This window comes from Homo sapiens, chromosome 11 (assembly GCF_000001405.40).
Source record: "Homo sapiens chromosome 11, GRCh38.p14 Primary Assembly".
NCBI lineage: Eukaryota > Metazoa > Chordata > Mammalia > Primates > Hominidae > Homo > Homo sapiens.
This window is the reverse complement of record NC_000011.10, coordinates 11,860,133-11,881,442: the sequence shown is the minus strand read 5'-3', so window position 1 is coordinate 11,881,442 and position 21,310 is coordinate 11,860,133. Positions and strand designations below refer to the sequence as shown.

Sequence of the window (21,310 nt, the reverse complement as noted above, 5' to 3'; positions counted from 1 at the left end):
TAAAAGTGAGGAAGTAGGAAAAGGCATTCTGATCAGTTTGGTATCTCCTCTCTTTTTCTCCTTGGACTACGTAGCAGACAGCAGTGCTTATTTCCTGTCAGGGTAAAGAGTGGGCACTGTGACCGGAGAGGTAGCACAGTGCTGTCTAACAAGGTACTGATCAGCTCCTAACCCTAAAGAGTCAGAAGCCAGCCAATCCCAGAACAAGTATAAACACATCACACCTAGCAGCACGTCTCACCCTTTTTCCACAACAAGCAAGAACTGAATATGGTAAGTTTAATCAGCATTCACAGAGAAGTGAACAGAGATTCTCAAATATAAAGATGAGCAGAAAATAAAAATCACTAAATATTTAAAGAAATGCTACACCATGAAAGAGAGAAACTAAATATAATGGATAAGGGATAAATAATTAAGGAAACAGTTAACAGACGACTAAAATTAGAAAGTATACCCTCAAAGAGATCTGACAAGACTGCAGTCGTTAAAAATGTTTTTAAGCTTAAGAGTTAAAAGTCAAAAGCTACACATGTTCATACAAAGAAAAATAAACATACAAAAAAGTTGCCCAGAAATGCACATAGACACACAAATAAAAAGAAATAGTCAGCTAGAGATAATCTTGGTTAACACTGTAATGTATGAGGCATATATGCTTCCATTTTTCTTACTATGAATATTTTTCTTCTTTTCCAAAAATCAGATCATAAAATATGATTTTACAATCTTTTTTCACGGAATAATATAAGATGATCATCATTCTGTTCAGTAAATATAGAAATTTTTCTTTAGTTGAGACAATATTATGAGAGTCACCTTTCATGAATGAAAAAACTGATGAAATGACATTATGTAAACTTTAGGACGAGCAAATGTTAAATCCAGAATGGAGGCAAAGGAAGAAGAAGGATCCAATTACTGAGCTGCACATAGGCTCTTACTGTAGTTGTTATACTTTTGTTTATGATTTTAAGAGTTCCAGGATTTAACATTATCATCAGTAACAACAACAACAATGGCTATAATAACATTTTTAGAAGCTTAAGTCTAGGATTTTACCATATCAGCAGTATTGATTCCATTTCCCCACACCAAGTCAAAGGTTCCATTTATGTAGCCTACTTTGTTGGCCACATCTTCAAAGAGCTTTCTGACTGGAGTAGATGCTGGTAAATTTAAAGTGATCCGTTCATTCACTGTCTTTGAATTAGTAGTATCTTGTATAATACATAAGACTCTAGGTTCTTCAGCAGCATTTTCTATCTGAAATTTTAAGAAAAATATGACTTTATATATTATCTTTAAAGCAAAACAAAAGTATAATTAGCTATAAAATTTTATGATTAAATGTAAAAGACCTCAGGAAATACTAAGTATTTTCTCTGTGCTATTTTCTCTGTTTTATCGTAGTCTGAAACGCATTCTAATGGATATGTCAAACATATAAGCACCGTATATGTTTGTTTTGGAAGAATCAAGGCACATTTCAGAATCAACAATCATTTTTGGAGATATTTGCTTTCACCTTTAAGACTGTAAATCCATGGTCAATAAGCCATGAAGATAGTAATATTTAAGCAATTTTAAGTTAAAAATTATAAAATCTGATCCTTAAAAAATGTGTCATTACCATGCTAGCCACAGTCAAATCAAATATTTCTGGGTCTCCTAAAAAAAAATGGGAATTGTGCAAAAATGCAGTAAGGATTGTCTAAAGATTAAAAAATCTATAACTAAGGGATACAGGCTACCACATCTCCTGATCTTTATGCTGCTGTACTCATAAGTCCAGATGTCCAAAAAGCTCCATTTATTAACGTGTCAGGGGCTGACAAGCTTATCCAAACAGATGAGCCAGGAGGAGGGGGAAGGAAAAACAAGGAAACAGTTTCAATTACCAATACAGAAAGGAATTAGGGTCACAAATTATCCTTCCTGCTTAAACTTTCTCAAATAAGCTATGCCCTCCCTCAAGCTGTTAAAGGACACCACTTTTCCACTTTCCACAGGGGTAAAAGACTACATCAAAGATACTTTATTGGAAGAAATTCCTTTCCCTCCTTCTATAATGGCCATCTCAATGAATGGCACCATCATCTGCCTGGCTGCTGAAACCAAACAGCTGAAATGAGCATCTTCCTTGTCCTTCCCTCTTTACCTCACATAGTCTCCAAAACCTATCAATTCTACCTTTTGAATATCTCTTGAACTACCTCCTTCACTTTATTCTTGCCTGCAGCAATAAGAATATCCTACAACAAAATTATGGAACAGCTTCCTAAGAAGTTTAACTTCTTCCAATCTTATATTCCTTCAACCCCGAATAGTATTTCTGATATACAAATCTGATGATGTAAATCTCTTGCTTTCCCTGACAGTCAGGTGTGGCATTAAACTGAGAGATGTCTCACCATCTCCATAATGGGCTATTCAGAAATATGATCTCTACAAACTGGTGGTGTACACAAAAATTTATTTCTTCCTTAGTTTTTATAACACTATCAGCTTCAACCTTTTGTTGCTTCTATATTATCCATTTTTAAATAAGAATAATTATAATTGGCTAGTACTGAAGATGGGATAGCCACAAAGTTTTTTGTTTGTTGAAGTAATACAATTATCATTTGTTTCTGTGACACACAATTTTGGGTTTGCAAGAGATCATTTAAATTAAAGTTACTCCAATTAGTTTAGAACAAAAGTAAGTTGCTATAAAAGTATAATATTTAAAATAAATTGGGTAGCACTACAATTCAGACACATCCAAATATTTAATTACTAAAAACTTACTTAAAAAATAAAAAGAAAATACATTTCTGTGAAATAAAAGAAACAAAAGAACATTATTAACATACATTTCAAAAAAGATAAAAAAACCTTCACCTATATATTTTAGATGTTATATTAACACATTTAATAGATTATTTTACACATTTTAACCCTAAACTAAAAAACATAAAATAGATCTTTTTAAAAATGCTGGTTTATGATGAAAGAGTAAATGACTCAAAATAAATTTCAACTACAAAACGTACACTTTTATAGATTCAATAGTATACTTCAGGGATAGATCAAGTCTGAATGATTCAGCGTTCCTGGTATAAAATACTGTAGTAGCCAGATTTTAAAGCTTCAAATAAGCTGGAGTTGATGGTCAAAGGAAGACAACGCTAAGAATTTAGAAATCAAAAGTGCTGTAATAGTAATCATACATAAGAATGGTGATGTGGCAACATCATATGGTCAGACATTAGCAGTTCCTGGTTCTTTCCCTAAATATGTGAATGCAGGGTCCAAGCACCCCAGATGCCTCTCCTTCCATGTGGGAAAATTATCCCTCAATGAAATCCTATCTAAAGACTAAATATGTTATACAGAAAAAAACAAAATTCAATCTCATGTGTGGCTTATATTCTTTTTAGTAATAGCCCTTCTTTTCCGTACATATAAATAATTTTGCTTTTTTTAAAAATACTAAGAGTATAAAGGAAAAAATGGAAATAATCTGTAACTCTATAACCCACAGATAACTATTAGCATGCTGGCATATATCCTTCCAAATATCTTATCTGCGCGCGCGCACACACACACACACACACACACACACACACACACACACACACACACACACACAGAGAGAGAGAGAGAGAAAGAGAGAGAGAGAGAGAGAGAAAGGCTATGCATGCATGCTACATAATCACAAACACTGGATTAGAATACACATGCTGTTTTCTAACATCTTTCTTATATCATGCAATCTTTCCCTGTAAAGCTTTTCCTAACTCATCATTTTAACAGCTAAGTAGTATTTGTTAGTATACGGATTAATAATAATTTACTTAATAAATTCTATTTTATTGTCTCCAAGACTTTATTATACTTTTACAAATAATTCTGTGATGAACACCTACATAAAACTTCATATACTTTATTTCCTTAAAATCCTTATACATAGAATTTCTCAGCAAATTACATTTTACTCTTGAATTCTGTTGTGGATGATTTAAACAGATAAAAAGCTCTGCTCTTCTTTAAAGCTCTAAGCTAGCCACTGCTAAATTCTACTTTACACTCAACTTTCTGGGCCCATTCTTATTTCACCTATACTTTAATATAACATGTGGACTTCATCTGAATTTTAGAATCACCATTGCTAACAGTAATCACACTAAAGTAAAATTTCTCTCCTCCTTTCCCCTCTCCAGTTTGGGAACTGAGAAGAAAACAATTTTTTTGTTGTTGCAATTTTAAGATACCACCAATAAGATATGGCAATAGTTTTTTTTTTTCTTAAATAGCTTTTCAAGAGAAAAAAACCTATACAATATAAATTAAACATGCAGGAAACATTTCCAAAACATTTAAATGTAAAAAGGTTTTTTCTGGAAATGGGAAATTAGGGCAGCTATCTTTCTTAATTTCTTTGTAGCCCTAACCAAAACTGATCCTACTTATGCCCAAAGGTAAAAACAATTACGTCTTGAGGTGGATTAAAGATAGCAAAAAATTCTTTGCCATTCTTTTTTTTTTCCTTTTCTCATGAATCTGACGTGACCATCTAAGACCAAGAGAATGTGACAGAAGTCACGCTGTGTGTGTAACTTAAGGCAGAGCCTTAAGAAACCAGCAGTTTCTGCTTTTGTATTTCTTGGAAACATTCCCTCTTATAACCCAGCCACCATGTAAGAAATCCAGTTACCCTGGGATCAATCAGCATGCTGTGAGGAAGCCCTAGAAATCCACATTCAGAGGAAGCAGCCACTTGGTGGAGACACTGAGGTGCCTGATGTATGAGAAAAGCCTTTTGGACGTTCCATTCAATGACTGCCACCAACTTAATGGAGCCAAGTAATTCTAGATGATGCCACCTGGAGCAGAACTGAATAGCTGGTGAGCCCTGGCCCCAATCCCATCCCACAGAAATCTGAACAAATAAACTAAATGCCCTATTAAGTCACTAAACTTTAGGGTCCACTGTTACATAGTAATAGATAAAAAATAAATATAGCTAAACACCTTCGAGCACATCCAAGTTCAAGTGGGGAAAGTATGATGATGGTGCTGTTGGTAGGGAGGGAAAGGTACTACTTTTCATTTAAGTACTACATCCAACATTAAGAAAAGGCATCTGAGGATACATCATGATTTAGGGAAGGGAGCAAAAATTTTTAGTCAAGAGTTCTCTGATGAACCTGAGGTAAGAGAAAACAAGTGTAAAATTTTAGAAAAGCCTACAGCATGTTCCATTTAGAAAAACATTTAATGTAGTTTAGATGCGCTATTTGAAGAGGACAAAGTTTTCTACAAAGAAAATCTAGCCAAGTACAAAAAAAGGTATAAATCCTAAAGTTGAAACTATTTATTTTACAGGCAACTCATAGCAATATTACACTTATGAGACTAAGGGGAAAGTCAACAGCAGTTATATTTACTGTATAAGCTAATAGAGTGCTCTGTGGCTACATTCATTGCAGAAACAAAGCTAGATTTCCTAGCAAAGTTTGAAGAAAAAAAATCCTTTTTAAAAAAGTAAAAATGGCCAGGTGAGGTGGCTCACATCTGTAATCACTGCACTTTGGCAGGCCGAGGTGGGAGGATCACTTCAGGTGAGGAGTTCCAGACCAACCTGGCCAACAGGGCAAAACCCTGTCTCTACAAATAATACAAAATTTGCTGGGTGTGGTGGCACACGCCCGTAACCTCAGCTACTTGGAAGGCAGAAGCAGGAGAATCGCTTGAACCTGGGAGGTAGAGTTTGCAGTGAGCTGAGATCGTGCCACTGCACTCCAGCCTGGGCGACAGCAAGACTCTGTCTCAAAGAAAAAAAAAAGTAGAAAGAATAAAACCATAGTCTTGTTTATAAAAGGTGAAACATATTGGGATAAAAAGCACTGAAAACAGTTTTCTTCCAAAGATACACTTAACTGCTAGAAACATCTAGAAGTCGTTGGCATAGTTCTAAGACATTTTAGAGCCCGCTGAAGGGATGCTTGCCTCTTAAGTCATCTTGTCTCCTTTTCTTGACATTCCCAATAGTTTTAAGCTCAAATCTGAGTTCTCTGATAACATCATAATTTTTGTTTCAAAAAAATACTCCTATGTATTTCTTATTAAAGAATACACACTGAGGTTTAAAATTGATCGTATATGTTCAGAATGGCATCAGCATACAGAATATAAGCTAATATCAAAATTCAAAATTATCAAGATTTAAATATTTCTAAGAGAAAAAATTAAGATAAAGTATTTTAAAATTATGAAGGTACCGCTTTACCTCTAAATTTAACCCATGCTCTCTAAGACATTCTTCCTTTCAATGTTATTGCAAATAATAGTATTATGGTTACAAGCTTTTAAACACACACACACACACACACACACACACACACACACACACACACACACAATAAGTCAATTTTCTCTCCCTTTTGGTACAGGAGCTGCCACAAGCTAAGTAATTAGGCCTTAGAGCATTCCCATCTGGGTATCCACAGTTCAAGATTAATGTATTGCCACAGATTTTAAAACAGAATTGATAGTATGAATATTTTTGTTGGTTGAAATTTATAAAACGTATCAGCTGCCAGGCACGGTGGCTCACACCTGTAAACCCAGCACTTTGGGAGGCCAAGGTGAGTGGATCACCTGAAGTCAGGAGTTCAAGATCAGCCTGGCCAACATGGCAAAACCTTGTCTCTACGAAAAATAAAAAAATTAGCCAGCATGGTGGTGCATGCCTGTAATCCCAGCTACTCCGGAGGCTGAGGCAGGAGAATTGCTTGAACCCAGGAGGCAGAGGTTGCAGTCAGCCGAGGTCACACCATTGCACTCCAGCCTAGGCAATAAGAGCAAAACTCCGTCTCAAAAAAAAAAAAAAGTATCAGCTTCATTTAGACTCTTCATTTTTATTTTAACAAGTAACATTTCTAAGGCTATTAATGAAGGTCCTAACTTACATTAAAAAAAGAGACTTTATTTTTAAGATACTCCCTTCATCCCACCTCAAAACTGCAGCCAACTCTGATGTTATCTACATGATCTTTTTCTAAGTGGTCTGTTGCCACACTTGGGAAGGATAAGAGAGATTAAAGGAGCAACTCTGGGGAAAAAACAGAGCAAAGGGACTGAAGGAAAATCAAGTATTAAGTAAAGGTTAGACCAGAATGCTACATCACATGGAAGTTTAAGTCTGTAGTGCACACAGGCTCTGAGGAAATCAATAGTAATAGGATTTCTGGATTTTGACTTTGTAAATTTTTAAATGATTTAATTTCCTAAATTATTAATATTTCAGAAAATAAATATATCTGGAAAAATAGGCAACTATCATACCCAACATCATAACAAAGGGTTCTTTAGTTTTTCTATCAGTTTTTTCTCCCTCATTCACTAGTTAAAAACAAGGTACTATCAGATACAAATTCATTTAAGGTGACTTTTTTATTATTAAAATTGGGTAGAAATAAAATAGCCAAACAAGCATAAAACTTAAGACATGCCTTGATATTAAATAAAAATACTAACATGCTGTTACTTGCTCTGCTGATTATCACATTAAAGCAATTACATCAGCAGTCTACCTGTAAAAATTTCTTCTTCATTTCATCAAAGATATTTTGTCTGCATCTCCAAAACACATCCTATGGTATATAAGAACAAAATGAATTACAAATTATTTATATAAAATAAAGGGAAAAGACAGTGAAATGAGAACAATTAACCTAAAAACATTTTTGCAATAAAATATGTATTAATTAAAGTATTAGTACATCATCTAGAATTTTATTCATGAATGTGCAAAGTTACTAAAAATCTATGATAAAGAGGTGATAAAGAATAAGATAAATATGGAAATAGCCATTTTAATAAAGAATGATAGCTTAAGAATTGTGTGTAAATCAAATGTTGTAAGTCACATAATATTTTGTGTCCAGTAAAGAAATTCTGCAGTTCTCTGCACTAAAGGAAACCAAGAGATCTCTTGATTTTGCTAGTCTCTAAAAATTTGAATTTTTCACGACAGCTACTCTTAAAACAAGGCTGCTTAACAATATCCCTCACAACTATTTTAATATATATCTCCTTCTTATGAGTTTAACAATTAAATTACAATTAATACAAAAACATATAAAAGGAAATAAAAGTAACCTATAATCAAGAGATAATCTCTTGAAAAATCTTGATTTTACATCACTCTACACTTTTTCTGTACATATTTTGTCTTATTCTCCCTTCTTCAGTTAATAAAAAGAAATCAACATATTCTCTTGAAAGGCGCTTTTACTTTTACAATAGAAATATATTTCTGTTATAATAGCAACATACAGTTTTCTGAAAAGCAACTCTAAAATAGCCACCATTGCTCTCATCTCATCTTCTCCAGTCTATGCACATATAATATTTATTATACAGAGAGAGTACTTTTAACCAAATAGGACAATTTCATATACCAGTATTTGAAATCTACTTCTTGTCCCTCAATACTCATTGTTTTTGTATGCCAAAACATTCAGTTTAAAAACTGCAGTGTTCCATTATATAGACAAACCATAATTTAACTAATCTGCTATTAATGGGCATTTAAGCCCCTCCAAACATTCACTACAGCATTGCTTGTTTGTATAATTTTTCCTTAAGATAATTTCTCAAAGAAAGAATTACTAGATCAAAGTATATGTACGCATTTTTAGAATTTTTAATACATGGTGCCTTTCACAAAAAAATTGTTGAACTGCAACTATCTTTCAACACTGTTCTCCCAACACTGTTCACCCTGCTCTCAAGGAGGTGATGCTGTGCAGTGGTAACTAATCTATAAGCAAATCTAAACTATCAGGCATCCATCATCCTTCAGGGTCTTTATGTATCTGTACCATGTACCTGGAATATTTTTCCCTGGATGTCCTCACCTCCTTTGCTCAAGTATCACTGCTGTGGGGCTTTAAAACATATCCACAAATTCTTTGACTTGCTTCCCTACGTAAAGTAGGAGTCTAACTTGCCTCCAGCAAAAGTAGGAGGCTAATTCCAGTCCCCTTTAATATAGACCAGACTTAGTGACTCCCTGTAATACACAGCATGATTTTCAAGGCTGGGTTAGAAAAGGTGTAATAACTTCCTCCTGGCCCTCAGCTCCTTACTGTTAGAACCCAGCCTCCATGCTGTGAGGAAGGAAGCCAAGCAGCCACTGGAAAAACTATGTGTAGATGTTCCAGCCACATCCCAAATGAGATCTCAGCAGACAACCAGCATCAACCACCTACATGTTGAGTGAGGAAGCTTTCAGACGATTCCAGCCCCTAGCCTTTCTGCTGCCCCCAGCTGATGCCTAGCAGAGCAGAAACAAGCTGTTTCAGCCTAACCTTACCCAAACTGCACATCTACGAGAAAAGTCACTAGATCTGGGGGCAGATTGTTATATAGCAAAAGATAATCAGAATAGTTCATTTCTCAATCAAGTCCTTCTCTCATCTTATCTAACATTCCAATCCTGTTGGTGCTCCTTATCTCCCAATGTATGAAACAATGATTTTCAAACACTGAACAAGAGGCAACACAGGTAATGATCCCTGTGAAAGCAGAAACAAAAAAGGTAAGCCACCTTCTAGGCTGCAGTGCAGGGAGGGAGAGTGCAGGTGGAGTCCAGCAATCTCCCTGAGTTAAAGGAGTTGGGAGTTCAAGGGGTGGAAAGAGCTACAACTCGCAGGGCAGGATACAGGGCAGAAGAAAGCTGGACACTCTGTGCAAACAGCAAGCTCCAAGGGACCTACAGTGCATCCCCCTAGAGTGTTTGGCTGATTTCTCATCAGCATATGTGTGTAAAGAGAGTGCCTGAGGCAAGGGAAAGAACCACAGGAAAAGAATCCCTGGAGCTCACTTAGGTTCCCACCAACCAGAATTCTTTTTTTTTTTTTTTTTTTTTTTTTTTTTTTTTTTTTGAGAGGGAGTTTCGCTCTGTTGCCAGGCTGGAGTGCAGTGGCACGATCTCAGCTCACTGCAAGCTCTGCCTCCTGGGTTCAAGCAATTCTCCTGCCTCAGCCTCCCGAGTAGCTGGGACTACAGGCATGCACCACCATGCCCAGCTAATTTTTGCATTTTTTAGTAGAGACGGGGTTTCACCATGTTGGCCAGGATGGTCTCCATCTCTTGACCTCATGACCTATCCGCCTCGGCCTCCCAAAGCGCTGAGATTACATGCGTGCGCCACTGCACCCAGCTGCCCACCAACCAGAATTTTTAAAATCTCATAATGCACAGGGCATCAGATAAGGGTACTCAAAAGGGTACTGTCTTAGTACTGGGACCAAATTAGACCTAATCTAAAGACTACTCTGGTCCAACCTTAGGAAGCTTAAAAGCAAAACTCAAAAGGATCAAACTGTTTACAAATAAACCATCTGCATCTAAGAACAAAACTCAAGAATATCTACAGGAATAAAAAACATCCAGGACCCACCAAGGTAAAATTCTCAATGTTTGGCATCCCACTGGAAATAAACAAACATGCAAAGAAGCAGGAAACTATGACCCATATGAAGAGAAAAAAAATAAGTATCTAAGATAATAAATAACATGGATGGGATTAACAAATGTAAGCACTGATGTAGATGAATGAATGAATGCTTAAGACACAGCACAAGAAACTATTAAAATTAAAACAAAGAGAGGAAAAAGAATCAAAAGAGAAAGAACAGAAAAGCGGGATAATTTTCTTACCAGAAACCACGGAGGCCAGAAGGAAGTGGCACAGTATTTTTCAGGTGCTTACAAAAAATAACCGTCAAACCAGAATCCAATAACCAGCAGAAATGCCCTTCAAGAACGACCCAGGAATTGCTTTAATAATCAAGTGGAATTCAAGACATTCTCAGATGAAGGAAAACTCAAAGAATTTGCATCCAGTGGAACTACCCTACAGGAAGGAATAGCTAAAGACAGTTCTTTAAACAAAAGAGAAATCATCAAAGAAACCTTAGAACATCAGGAAAAAAGAATACAGACAGCAAAAATATAGCTAAATATAATACATTTTCCTTCTCTTGAGTTTTTATTAAAGACTTGACAGTTGAGGTAAAAACTAAAATATTGTCTGATGTGGTTACAAGTCAAGAAAATATTTAACACAATTATAAACAGGGTAGGGTAAAAATACATGAAGGGAAATAAGGTTTCTACATTTCACTTGAACTAGTAAAATAACACCTGTAGACTGTGATAAGTTGGTTTACATTATGTCACACCTAGAGAAGCCACCAAGAAAGCTATATAAAAGGAAACAATAAAAATACTATAAATTAATCAAAATAGACAAATGTTCAAATAACCCACAGGAAAACAAGTAAAAGATAACAGAGGGGAAAAAAAAAAGAAACAGAAAACAAAAAAACAAAATGTCACACTTAAGCTCTAATATATTAATTATTACATCAAATATAAATGATCTAAATACCCCAATTACCAGCACAGAAATTGTTTTGGCTCAAGGTTCTGGAGACTAGGAAATCCAATATCAAGATGCCAGCATCTGGCAAGGGCTTTCCTGCTACATCATAACATGACAGAAGGCATCACATGGTGCAAGAGCAAAAAGAGGGTGAAAGAGAGGGTGAACCCACTCCCACGATAATGAACCCACTCCTGTCCATTCATGAGGGCAGAGCGCTCATGATCTAAATACCTCTTAAAGGTATTTGACATCTCTTAATACTATCATAATAGAAACTAAATTTCCACATGAATTTTGAAGACGGCAAGCATTCAAACCATAGCAAAGTTTGATGCAAATCCTATCAAAATCCCAGCAAGACTTTTTGAAAATTTTGATGATTATCCTGAAATTTATAGGGAAAGGCAAAGGAATCAGAATAACTAAAAGGATATTGAAAAGGAATAAAGTGAAAGGTCTCAGTTTACCTGATTTTAAGATTTAACATACAGCAACAGTAATCAAGACTGTGTGGTATTTGTAGAGAGATAAATAGATCAATGTCACAATAGAGACCTACACAAATATGCACAACTGATTTTTGACTAGGTACAAAAGCAACTCAATGGAAGAAAAATAGTCTTTCCAAAAATGATGCTGTAATATTTCATTTAGACATCCAGAAGCAAAAAAAAAAAATTCTCAACCTAACTCTCCATCTTATATTAAAATTAACATAAATGTGGATCATAAACATAAATGGAAAACATAAAACTATAAAACCTTTAGGAAAACACATAGGAGAAAATGTTCTCAGTACTCAGGCTAGGCAGAGTCCTTAGCCTTGACACCAAAATCATAATCCATAAAAGGAAAAATTGATAAACTGGACTTCATCAAAATTTAAAATGCCTACTCTGCAAAGATTCCGTTAAGGACTAAAAGTTACAGACTGGGAGAAAATATTTCAAACCACATAATCAACAAAGGATTAGTATCTAGAATATATAAAGAACTCTAAAAACCTACAAAAAAAAGCAAACAATCCAATTAGCACATAGACAAAAATCATGAAAAGACATTTCAATGAAGCGTATAAACAGATGCAAATAAGCACATAAAAAGATGTACAACATACTAACCATTAGATAAATGCAAATTAATACCAAAATGAAATATTACCACATCGTTTTCAGAATGGTTAAAATAAAAAAAAAATAGCAACATCAAATACTGGCAAAGTAGAGAAATTGAATCTCTCATGCCTTCCTGTAAAATGGTACAGCTATTCTGGAAAACAGTCCAGTAATTAAAAAAAAAAACTATATATACAATTACCATACAACTTAGAAATTGCACTTTTCAACATTTATCACAGATGAAATAATTATGTTCACATAAAAACCAGTACAGGAATGCTTATAGCAGCTTTACTTACAACAGCCCAAAACTGCAAACCCAGATGTCTTTCATCAACTAAATGGTCAAACAAATTATAGTACATCCATATCATGGAAAACTACTAAGCAATAAATAGGAACCAACTATTGATACATGTAACAACCTGAAAAAACTTCCAGAAAATTATACTAAATTTTAAAAAACCAACCCCAAAAGACTCTACAATCTGTGATTCCATTTTTACAACACTCTTAAAATGACCAAGTATAGAAATGGAGAAGAGATTAGTGATCGCCAGGGATTAAAGAGGGAATAGGGAGTGAAAGGGAAGTGAGTGTGGTTACTAAGGGCAACATGAGGGATCCTTGTGGTGAAGAAAATGTTCTATATCTTGACTATATCACGTGAATATCTTGGTTCTGATAGTGTATTATAGTCCATAAGGTGTTACCATTAGTGTAGACTGGGTGAAGAGTACATGAGATATCTGTTTTATTTCTCCAAACTACAAGTAAATGTACAATTATCTCAAATGGAAAGTTAGTTAATAAAACATTGTCTATTCTACTATTTTTCAACCTCTCCTTCCTAGAGACTGAAAGAGGACTGCCTGTTTAAAACCTTGAAGCTGATGGGAGGAGGGTACTCCTAAGAACGTGCAACCACATGCTGGTCTTCATGATGATTTGCAGCCCCAATTCACACCACCTGGTGGTAAAAAAAAAACAAAACTCCAAGCCAAGAATTGCTTTGAAAATGGTTCTAGAATAGTGATATTCCCAGGCACCTGGCAGAAACAATCACAAATTCTTCCTGGAAGGAATCACATATATTCCAAAGTGCAACTAATTTCCACAAAAATTATTTTCATAAGTATAAGAAAAATGAACAGCTCACATTTTTAAAAAATCACTGTGTGTAAACATGGTACCATTAAAGAGAGTCAGCTAAGAATAAAATACAGTAGATGACATCCACAAAAACTTCAATATTGAAACTATCAGTTACATTATAAAATAAATGTTTAACATGCTTCAAGAAATAAAAAAGTGGTTCAAAATTGAGTCTGAGCAGAATTCCTAGAAAATAATAGAAATTAAAAACACAAAATTTAACAGCACATTTAAAATATTTGAAAAAAGAATTAATGAACTCTATATAAGAGAACTAAAGACATTTTCTAAACTTCTAGTGACATAGAGATGTAAAACATTAGAGCATTAAGAGACATGAAGGATAGAGTAAGACCTAATATCTATCCTGAAGAGAGAGAATGAAAGCAGAGGGAATATTTAAATAAATAATGGCTTAGAACCCTTCAGGAACCAATGAAAGACACGAATCCACAGAGCCGAGAATCTCAACAAATCTCAAGCAGAGTAAATAAACGGAGAAGAATTTACATGTAGTCAGAGAGGGCCAGGCACAGCGGCTCACGCCTATAATCCCAACACTTTGAAAGGGCCGGGTGGGCGCATCACCTGAGGTCAGGAGTTCAAGACCAGCATGACCAACATGGTGAAACCCTGTCTCTACCAAAAATACAAAATTAGCTGGGTGTGGTGGCACACACCTGTAATCCCAACTACTTGGGAGGCTGAGGCAGGAGAATCGCTTGAACCTGGGAGGCAGAAGTTGCAGTGAGCCAAGATCGCACCATTGAGCTCCAGCCTGGGCAACAGAGTGAAACTTCGTCTCAAAAAATAAAAGTAAAAATTAAAAATTAAAAAAAAAAATGCAGTCAGAGAGAACAACAGATTACCTTAAAAGAAACAACTAGACTAATGCCTAATTTGTCAATAGGAAAAAGTGTGGGCCATAAGACTGGAGCATGATACTTTCATTGTTGTGAGAGAAAATAACTGTTATCCCAGAATGCTATAAACAGCAAAAATATCTATCAGGAATGCAAAAACAGAGATTTCTGTCACCAATAGATTATCATTAAAGAAACTCCTTAAAAAATGTATTATAGGAAAAAAGAAAGTGACCCCAGAAGGAAGGTGATGAATCCTGACCTAGCCACCTAGACTGATGACAGTGAAACATGCCTGATTTCTACTAAACTACCATAGTGCCATCTTCACCTAGTACCATAATCATGTTCATCACCACGACAACTTTCCAGAAGAACCACCACCAACTCAGGGGAACACAATGCCTAAACAATTAGCTCACATATGCCATCTAATCAGGCACAGACAGACTTTGCTTATCTGATATGAAACAGATTGTTCATGGGTTTCAGCTCTTAAAAAACCTACCACTTTCCCTCTCCTGAGCCTTGAGTCTTATCCTGACCACCACCCCTTTGTTATTGGATCTAGTTCCCAGTTTAATAGTAAAATTGTTACTCAGTGTTCAATCTTTGGTCATGAAGCTTTTATTTTCTCTTTAACAAAGGAGATAGGAGGGAAATGAATAGCTACAAAGATTAACTAAAAATAGATAAAGACCTATATGTAAGAGCTAAAACTATAAAAACTCTTAGAAGAAAACAAAGGGAAAAAGTTTCATGACACTGGATTTGGCAATGATTTCTTGGAAATGATACCAAGACACAGGCAGCAAAAGAAAAATAAGTAACTTGGACTTCATCAAAATTAAAACTTTTGTACATCAAAGGGCACTATCAGAGTAAAAAGACAACTCAGAATGGGAGAAAATATTTGCAAACTGTATAAGAGATTAATACCCCAAATATATAAAGAATTCTTATAACATAACAACAGAAAAACCCTAACACCCTGATTAAAAAATGGACAAAGAACTTAAACATTTCTCCAAAGAATATGTAAAAATAGCCAACAAGCACATAAAAAGATGGTCAACATCAGTAATCAGGGAAATGCAAATCAGAAACCACAAAGAGTAACGACTTCACACCCATTATAAGATGGCCATTGAAATGAAAAAAAGAGAGAGAGATAAGGAAAATAAATAAAAAGTGTTGGTAAGGATGTGGGGAAACTGGAACTCTTGTGCATTGCTGGTAGGAATGTAAAATGGTGCAGCCACTGTGGAAAACAGTCTGGTGGTTACTCACAAAACTAAACATAGTATTACCATAAGATCCAGCAATGTTTCAACAAGCAATTACTAAACGCCTGAAAAAAAACAGAAAGTCTCAGCAAATAAATAACAGATAAAACCGAAATGAAAACTAATTAGGTGGGCCCAACAGCAGAATGAAGATGACAAAAGAATCAGTGAACTGAAGATAAAAACAATGGAAATTACCCAGTTTGAACAATAAAGAAAAAACAGACCCTAAAACAATGATCAGTGGCAAGCACCTGTAGGACTATAACAAAAGATCCAACATTCATGTCATTCAGAACTGGGAAGAAAAGGAGAAAGAGGGCAGGTTTAAAAAGTACTCAAAGAAATAACTGCTGAAAACTTCCCAAATTTGGCAAAAGACATTAACCTATATAATCAAGAAGCTGAGCAAACCCCAAATAAGGTAAACCTAAAGAAATCCATCTCAAGACGCATCATAATCAAATCCCTTAAGAACTAAAGACAAAGAGAAAGATTTTTGCAAGTATTTAGGGGAAAACCCATCTTAACTATAAGGGTAAAACAATTCAAATGACAGCAGATTTCTCTGATCACATCACAACAGAGGCAGAAGGAAGTGGCACAACACTTCAAGGGCTGAAAGAAGAGCTGTCAACCCAGAATTACATTTCCAGTGAAAATATCCTTCAGGAATCATAGAGAAATCAAGACATTCTCAGATGAAGAAAAATGAAAAGATTTGATGCCAGCAGACCTAACCTAAAAGAAAATGGCTAAAGAAAGTTATCTAAATAGAAATAAAAATGCTAAAAATCTACTTTACATTAAAAATAAGATTATATTCTATAATGTATAAATATGATATACACACATACACAGTTTCAAAAAGGAATGAAATCCTGAAACAATTCCACAATATGAAAAAACCTTGAGGACATTATGCTAAGTGAAATAAGCCAGTCACAAAGACAAATACTATATGAGATATCTACACTAGTCAAATTCACCGAGATGGAAAGTAGAATGGTGGTTGCCAGAGGTTAGGGGCAGAGAGGAATGGCGAGTTATTTAATAGGTACATGGTTTCAGTTTTGTAAGATGAAAAGAGTTCTGTGGATAGATGATGGTGATGGTAGTACAACAATAAGAATGTACTTAGTACCACCGAACTGTACATACTTAAAGACAGTTAAGACAGTAAATGTTATGTTATGTGTATTTTACAATTTAAAAAAATAAATTTTTTATAAATAGCTTAACTCCATAAATTTGTGGAAGAAGCAAAACTGCCAACACACTAGGTTTCCAACATGTCTACATTACAAACACATACTACATATAGGCATATTATAAATATGTATAAATAAATATAAGCATAAAATAAATTCCTACATTTTTCTTGTAATACAAAAAAATTTTTTTAACTGTTTATTAAAGGAATTAATATAATTTGAGTGGATATATACATACATATTAGAGAGAAATAGATATAAAATAAATATAGCTCTCACTCACATATGTGTTTGTATGCATATTTTCTAGCTCCTTCCACTGAAAGGACTAGAAGCAATGCTATCACCATAATAGTAGTACAATTAGAACCCAGATCTCAATTTCTAAGTATCATTCTCCAGAAAAAGAACCTAGAGGTCTTTGCAGAAATGGCTAATCTTAGAATTAGGGCTGAGAAATTACAATAATTTGGGATACCTTGTACTGCCAGAAAATAAGCGCTCAAAGAATGGTGTATGTACGTTAAGAGGACATATAAAGTCAGGTGAAAGGGCTCGCACTGGCCAAATGTGGAAAAACTTAAACATTAAAATAAATAAATGATTTATTCAATGTAAAAGTTAACATTAAAAAGATAGTTACATAGCATGAGAAATAATCAAATAACTAAGAATGCATTTGTAGGTATTCTGAAAATTTAAATAAAGATGTCCAATTTCCTAAATACTACTAAAATACTGACAGTGGACAGTAAAGATTAAAGAACAGTTATAATTGGCTTAATACTCAAGGATCCCTTCAAAAAATTTACTTTCTGTATTAAAATTCACGTTGTTTACTTAAAATCTAAAGTGTTAGCTATAGAAGTTAAGCAGCAGAAAGCTGTGTTCTTAAATATGACAAGTCTGATCATATTTTTTAAAAATCTGACTGAACTTTTTACTCAGTGTATTTCGATTTAGGAATAAATGTAAATACAAGAGAACTAAGAGTAAAAACATCATCAAGTTATAATTTTTTAGCCTTTTTTCAGTTTCTAAGTTTTTGAGCATCAAATTGCTTTTCTATTTTTGTGATTTCATGTTTTGAATGCTTCCATTTTAAAGTGGATGAAAACTGAAGTAAAGTACATCATTAAAATATACCACATTTCCCATGACTCGTCAATTTAAAAATCAAATCACAACATCTGTAAATAATCAAGCCTTTCTAATAAACAATCTCTATAAATCATTATAATCGGAAAATAATGCAAACTATACTAATATAAAAATTCAAGACTTTCTTAGTATCCACTTTATCTTCAACTCCATTCCCACTAGTATCCCTCTGCAATTTCCCCTAAATGGCTCAGTCTTCTTAGCCCTAAGTGGGTGGGAGGGGGGTAGATGATGAAAGATTAATTAAAGGGTACAATGTATGTTGTTCAGGCAATGTATACCCTAAAATACCTGCCTTCACTACTACACAATCTATGCATGTAACAAAATTACACTTGTAGGCTGGGTGTGGTGGCTCATGCCTGTAATCCCAATAATCTGGGAGGCCAAGGTGGGAGGATCACTTGAGCCCAGGAGTTCGAGACCAGCCTGGGCAACATGGCGAGACCCTATCTCTAATAAAGAAAAAAAAAATTATGCTTGTATCCCATACGTTTATACAAATTAAAAGAAGAGAAAAGTCTTCTTAGCCTTAGCTTTTCTACCACTGTCAAATTACATCCAGAATATCTAGCTGTAGGCTCAAATTTCTCAAAAAATTTTATTTTCCTTATCTAGGATTTATATCAGTTTTTCTAAAAACATGTAATTTATTTCCTCTTGCTTATATACTCAAGGAAAACAAACATGTCAAAGGATGTGAGGAGACTTGTCAGGAATACACTAATACTTCAGAAAATCATAAAGACACAACAAGAACATGAAAAAACCCACAATGTATATAATAAGATAAGCAGATTCTTATGCACGATTGTGCTTAGCTAAGAAATGAAAACAGCTATTTTACAATCTTTACTACTAAAAACAAACCACAGAAGTAGAAAATCTAAGTCCTACACAGAATTCTGTAAGCAAAATATATTCATTCAGAAAAATAATTTCATAATGTATTATAGCTGATGCTTTTGGAAGCATAAAGTGTGCTTTAAAAACTTAATTTCTAGAAACTGATTTTGAAACAGAAAATTCTGTAATCTCATTTTAAATTGTGAATTTGTTAGTGCAATAAGGGCTTTTACTACTTAAGTGAAGTTTGATGATAATCATGCTCTGCTTTAATTGGCTCTTTTAATTCAAATCCTATGTGTGTTTTCCTTAAAAAAAAAAAAAAAGACTTTGTACCTGTTCTAAAAGCCTAAAGCAGTAAAGAAATTATAAGTAGATTTGCTTTATTATTCTAGTTAAATACAAATTCTGTGATAATTTGTTTTAGCACATGTTGTTCAATGTATCATGGTATGAATTTTCTGAATTTAAATTAATAAACATGTTATAAATTACATGTCACTATATCACATTTGTTTCTAAATTATATACTATAAAAACACTCAAGTAATAAAACATAACTAGGCTGACTTGGATAAAGTATGCTTTTAAAATTTTGTAAAAATACTTATTTTCATACCTGCCCTCTGTGCTCTAGTATTAGGGTGTCCCTCAGGTAAATGCATTCCATTTTATTCTAAAACAGTCATGAAATAAGCTCCCAGAACCCCACAGTATATTAAAATTAGAAAATAAATAAAACTCCTTTGATCCTATGTAATTTATTTTTAGTTGTTGCAACAAATTACATCAAGTACTCAATCAATTAATAGGAAACTAAAAATGCAAAGTTTCAGAACTTTAAAAGAATAGTTTACAATCCATTTAACTATGATTGACCTATTTTGACAATTAAAAACCAACCAACCAGATGGCTCATCACACTCAACATACAACTACATTCAAAGTTGGATGGGGCCGGGTGTGGTAGCTCACGCCTGTAATCCCAGCACTTTCAGAGGCCAAGGCAGCCGAATCACCCGAGGTCAGGAGTTCGAGACCACCCTAGCCAACATGGTGAAACCCCGTCTCTACTAAAAAATACAAAAATTAGCTGGGCATGGTGGCACATGCCTGTAATTCCAGCTACTTAGGAGGCTGGGGCAGGAGAATCGCTTGAATCTGGGAGGCAGAGGCTGCAGTGAGCCAAGATCGTGTCACTATACTCCAGCTTGGGCGACAGAGCGGGACTCCGTCTCAAAAAATAAAATAAAATAAAATAAAATAAAGTTGGATGGACCTTTGAACATCAGATGAGGCTCCTTATTTTATCGATGAAGAAAAAGAAATTGAGAAACCTTAAGTGACCTGCCCAACGTCACATTTGAACACAGGTCTTCTAAATAACAGAGGCCTTCTGATGACTGTATAATGCTGACATGTTTGTAGCATTAAAATTGTAATGTATTACTTTTCCTCTCACTTTTATCCTAATACTCTTCCCACTCTGCCTTGCTCCTTTTAATAGCTGTTCTAGTATTGGCAATGGGTAACCCACTGATAATATACTGTAGGTATCTAAACTTAGAAACCAAAACTATTCTCAGGAGGCGAAATAATACGTCCTTTACTATTTCTGTTATCTTTATTTTTGATTACAGCTAAGATTTCCTCTGTGAGTAGGCTGTTGTTGACAAGCAGTGACTCAGCTTGTGAAATAACTGACTTGTTTATAGGTTATGAACATTCTACTTATTATTACTAAATCAAGGGAGCTTGTTTATATTATCTGTTACCATGCATTTTATTTAAAAGCATGGACAGTAATTCTTAAGAATATTACATTCTTTTAATACTTCAAACATGAAATTATACATCTGAAAGAAACGTTAACGTTACTTAACACTTTTTAAAGTTTGTTTATTTCCTATTAGAGTGATCTATGGTACAAGAACAATGGACTGCAGAGTCAAAAGATCTAGATTAGACTCCTTAAGTCAAAGTGGCTACTTTTCTTCTAGCTGTGTAATCCTACACGAATCATTTAACTTATCTCTCACTCTCAGGGTCCTAAAAGTAAATATATCCTCCGCTCAGTGGTAGGGTGGGCAGGAGAATCGCTTGAACCCGGGAAGCAGAGGTTGTGGTGAGCCGAGATCGCGCCATTGCACTCCAGCCTGGGCAACAAGAGCGAAACTCCATCTCAAAAAAATAAATAAATAAATAAAATAAGAAAAGA

At 34.6% G+C, this 21,310-nt stretch overlaps 1 protein-coding gene across 16 annotated transcripts in view, besides 2 other annotated features; it reads right to left on the bottom strand.

The window, feature by feature from the left end:
- The window catches only part of USP47 (ubiquitin specific peptidase 47), a 119,916-nt gene that overhangs the window by 80,445 nt on the left and 18,161 nt on the right, over positions 1–21,310 (bottom strand). For 5 of the 16 annotated variants that reach the window (NM_001282659.2, NM_001372091.1, NM_001372097.1 and 2 more), the window contains exon 2: positions 1,063–1,266. The exons of 4 other annotated variants lie outside the window; for them this stretch is intronic. In NM_001282659.2, coding sequence (NP_001269588.1) covers positions 1,063–1,266 — 204 coding nt within the window. Of the gene's footprint in view, positions 1–1,062; positions 1,267–7,527; positions 7,644–10,719; positions 10,944–21,310 lie in introns of all 16 variants that reach the window. 7 more of the 16 variants (NM_001372100.1, NM_001372103.1, NM_001330208.2 and 4 more) reach the window with 5 other exon arrangements.
- Positions 8,943–9,747: an enhancer, noted in NCBI's record as "H3K4me1 hESC enhancer chr11:11893243-11894047 (GRCh37/hg19 assembly coordinates)". NCBI's record gives its function as "activates a minimal SCP1, AML or CMV promoter by ChIP-STARR-seq in primed H9 embryonic stem cells {active_cell/tissue: H9 hESC(primed)}" and the evidence as "EXISTENCE:reporter gene assay evidence [ECO:0000049][PMID:30033119]".
- Positions 9,748–10,554: an enhancer, noted in NCBI's record as "H3K4me1 hESC enhancer chr11:11892436-11893242 (GRCh37/hg19 assembly coordinates)". NCBI's record gives its function as "activates a minimal SCP1, AML or CMV promoter by ChIP-STARR-seq in primed H9 embryonic stem cells {active_cell/tissue: H9 hESC(primed)}" and the evidence as "EXISTENCE:reporter gene assay evidence [ECO:0000049][PMID:30033119]".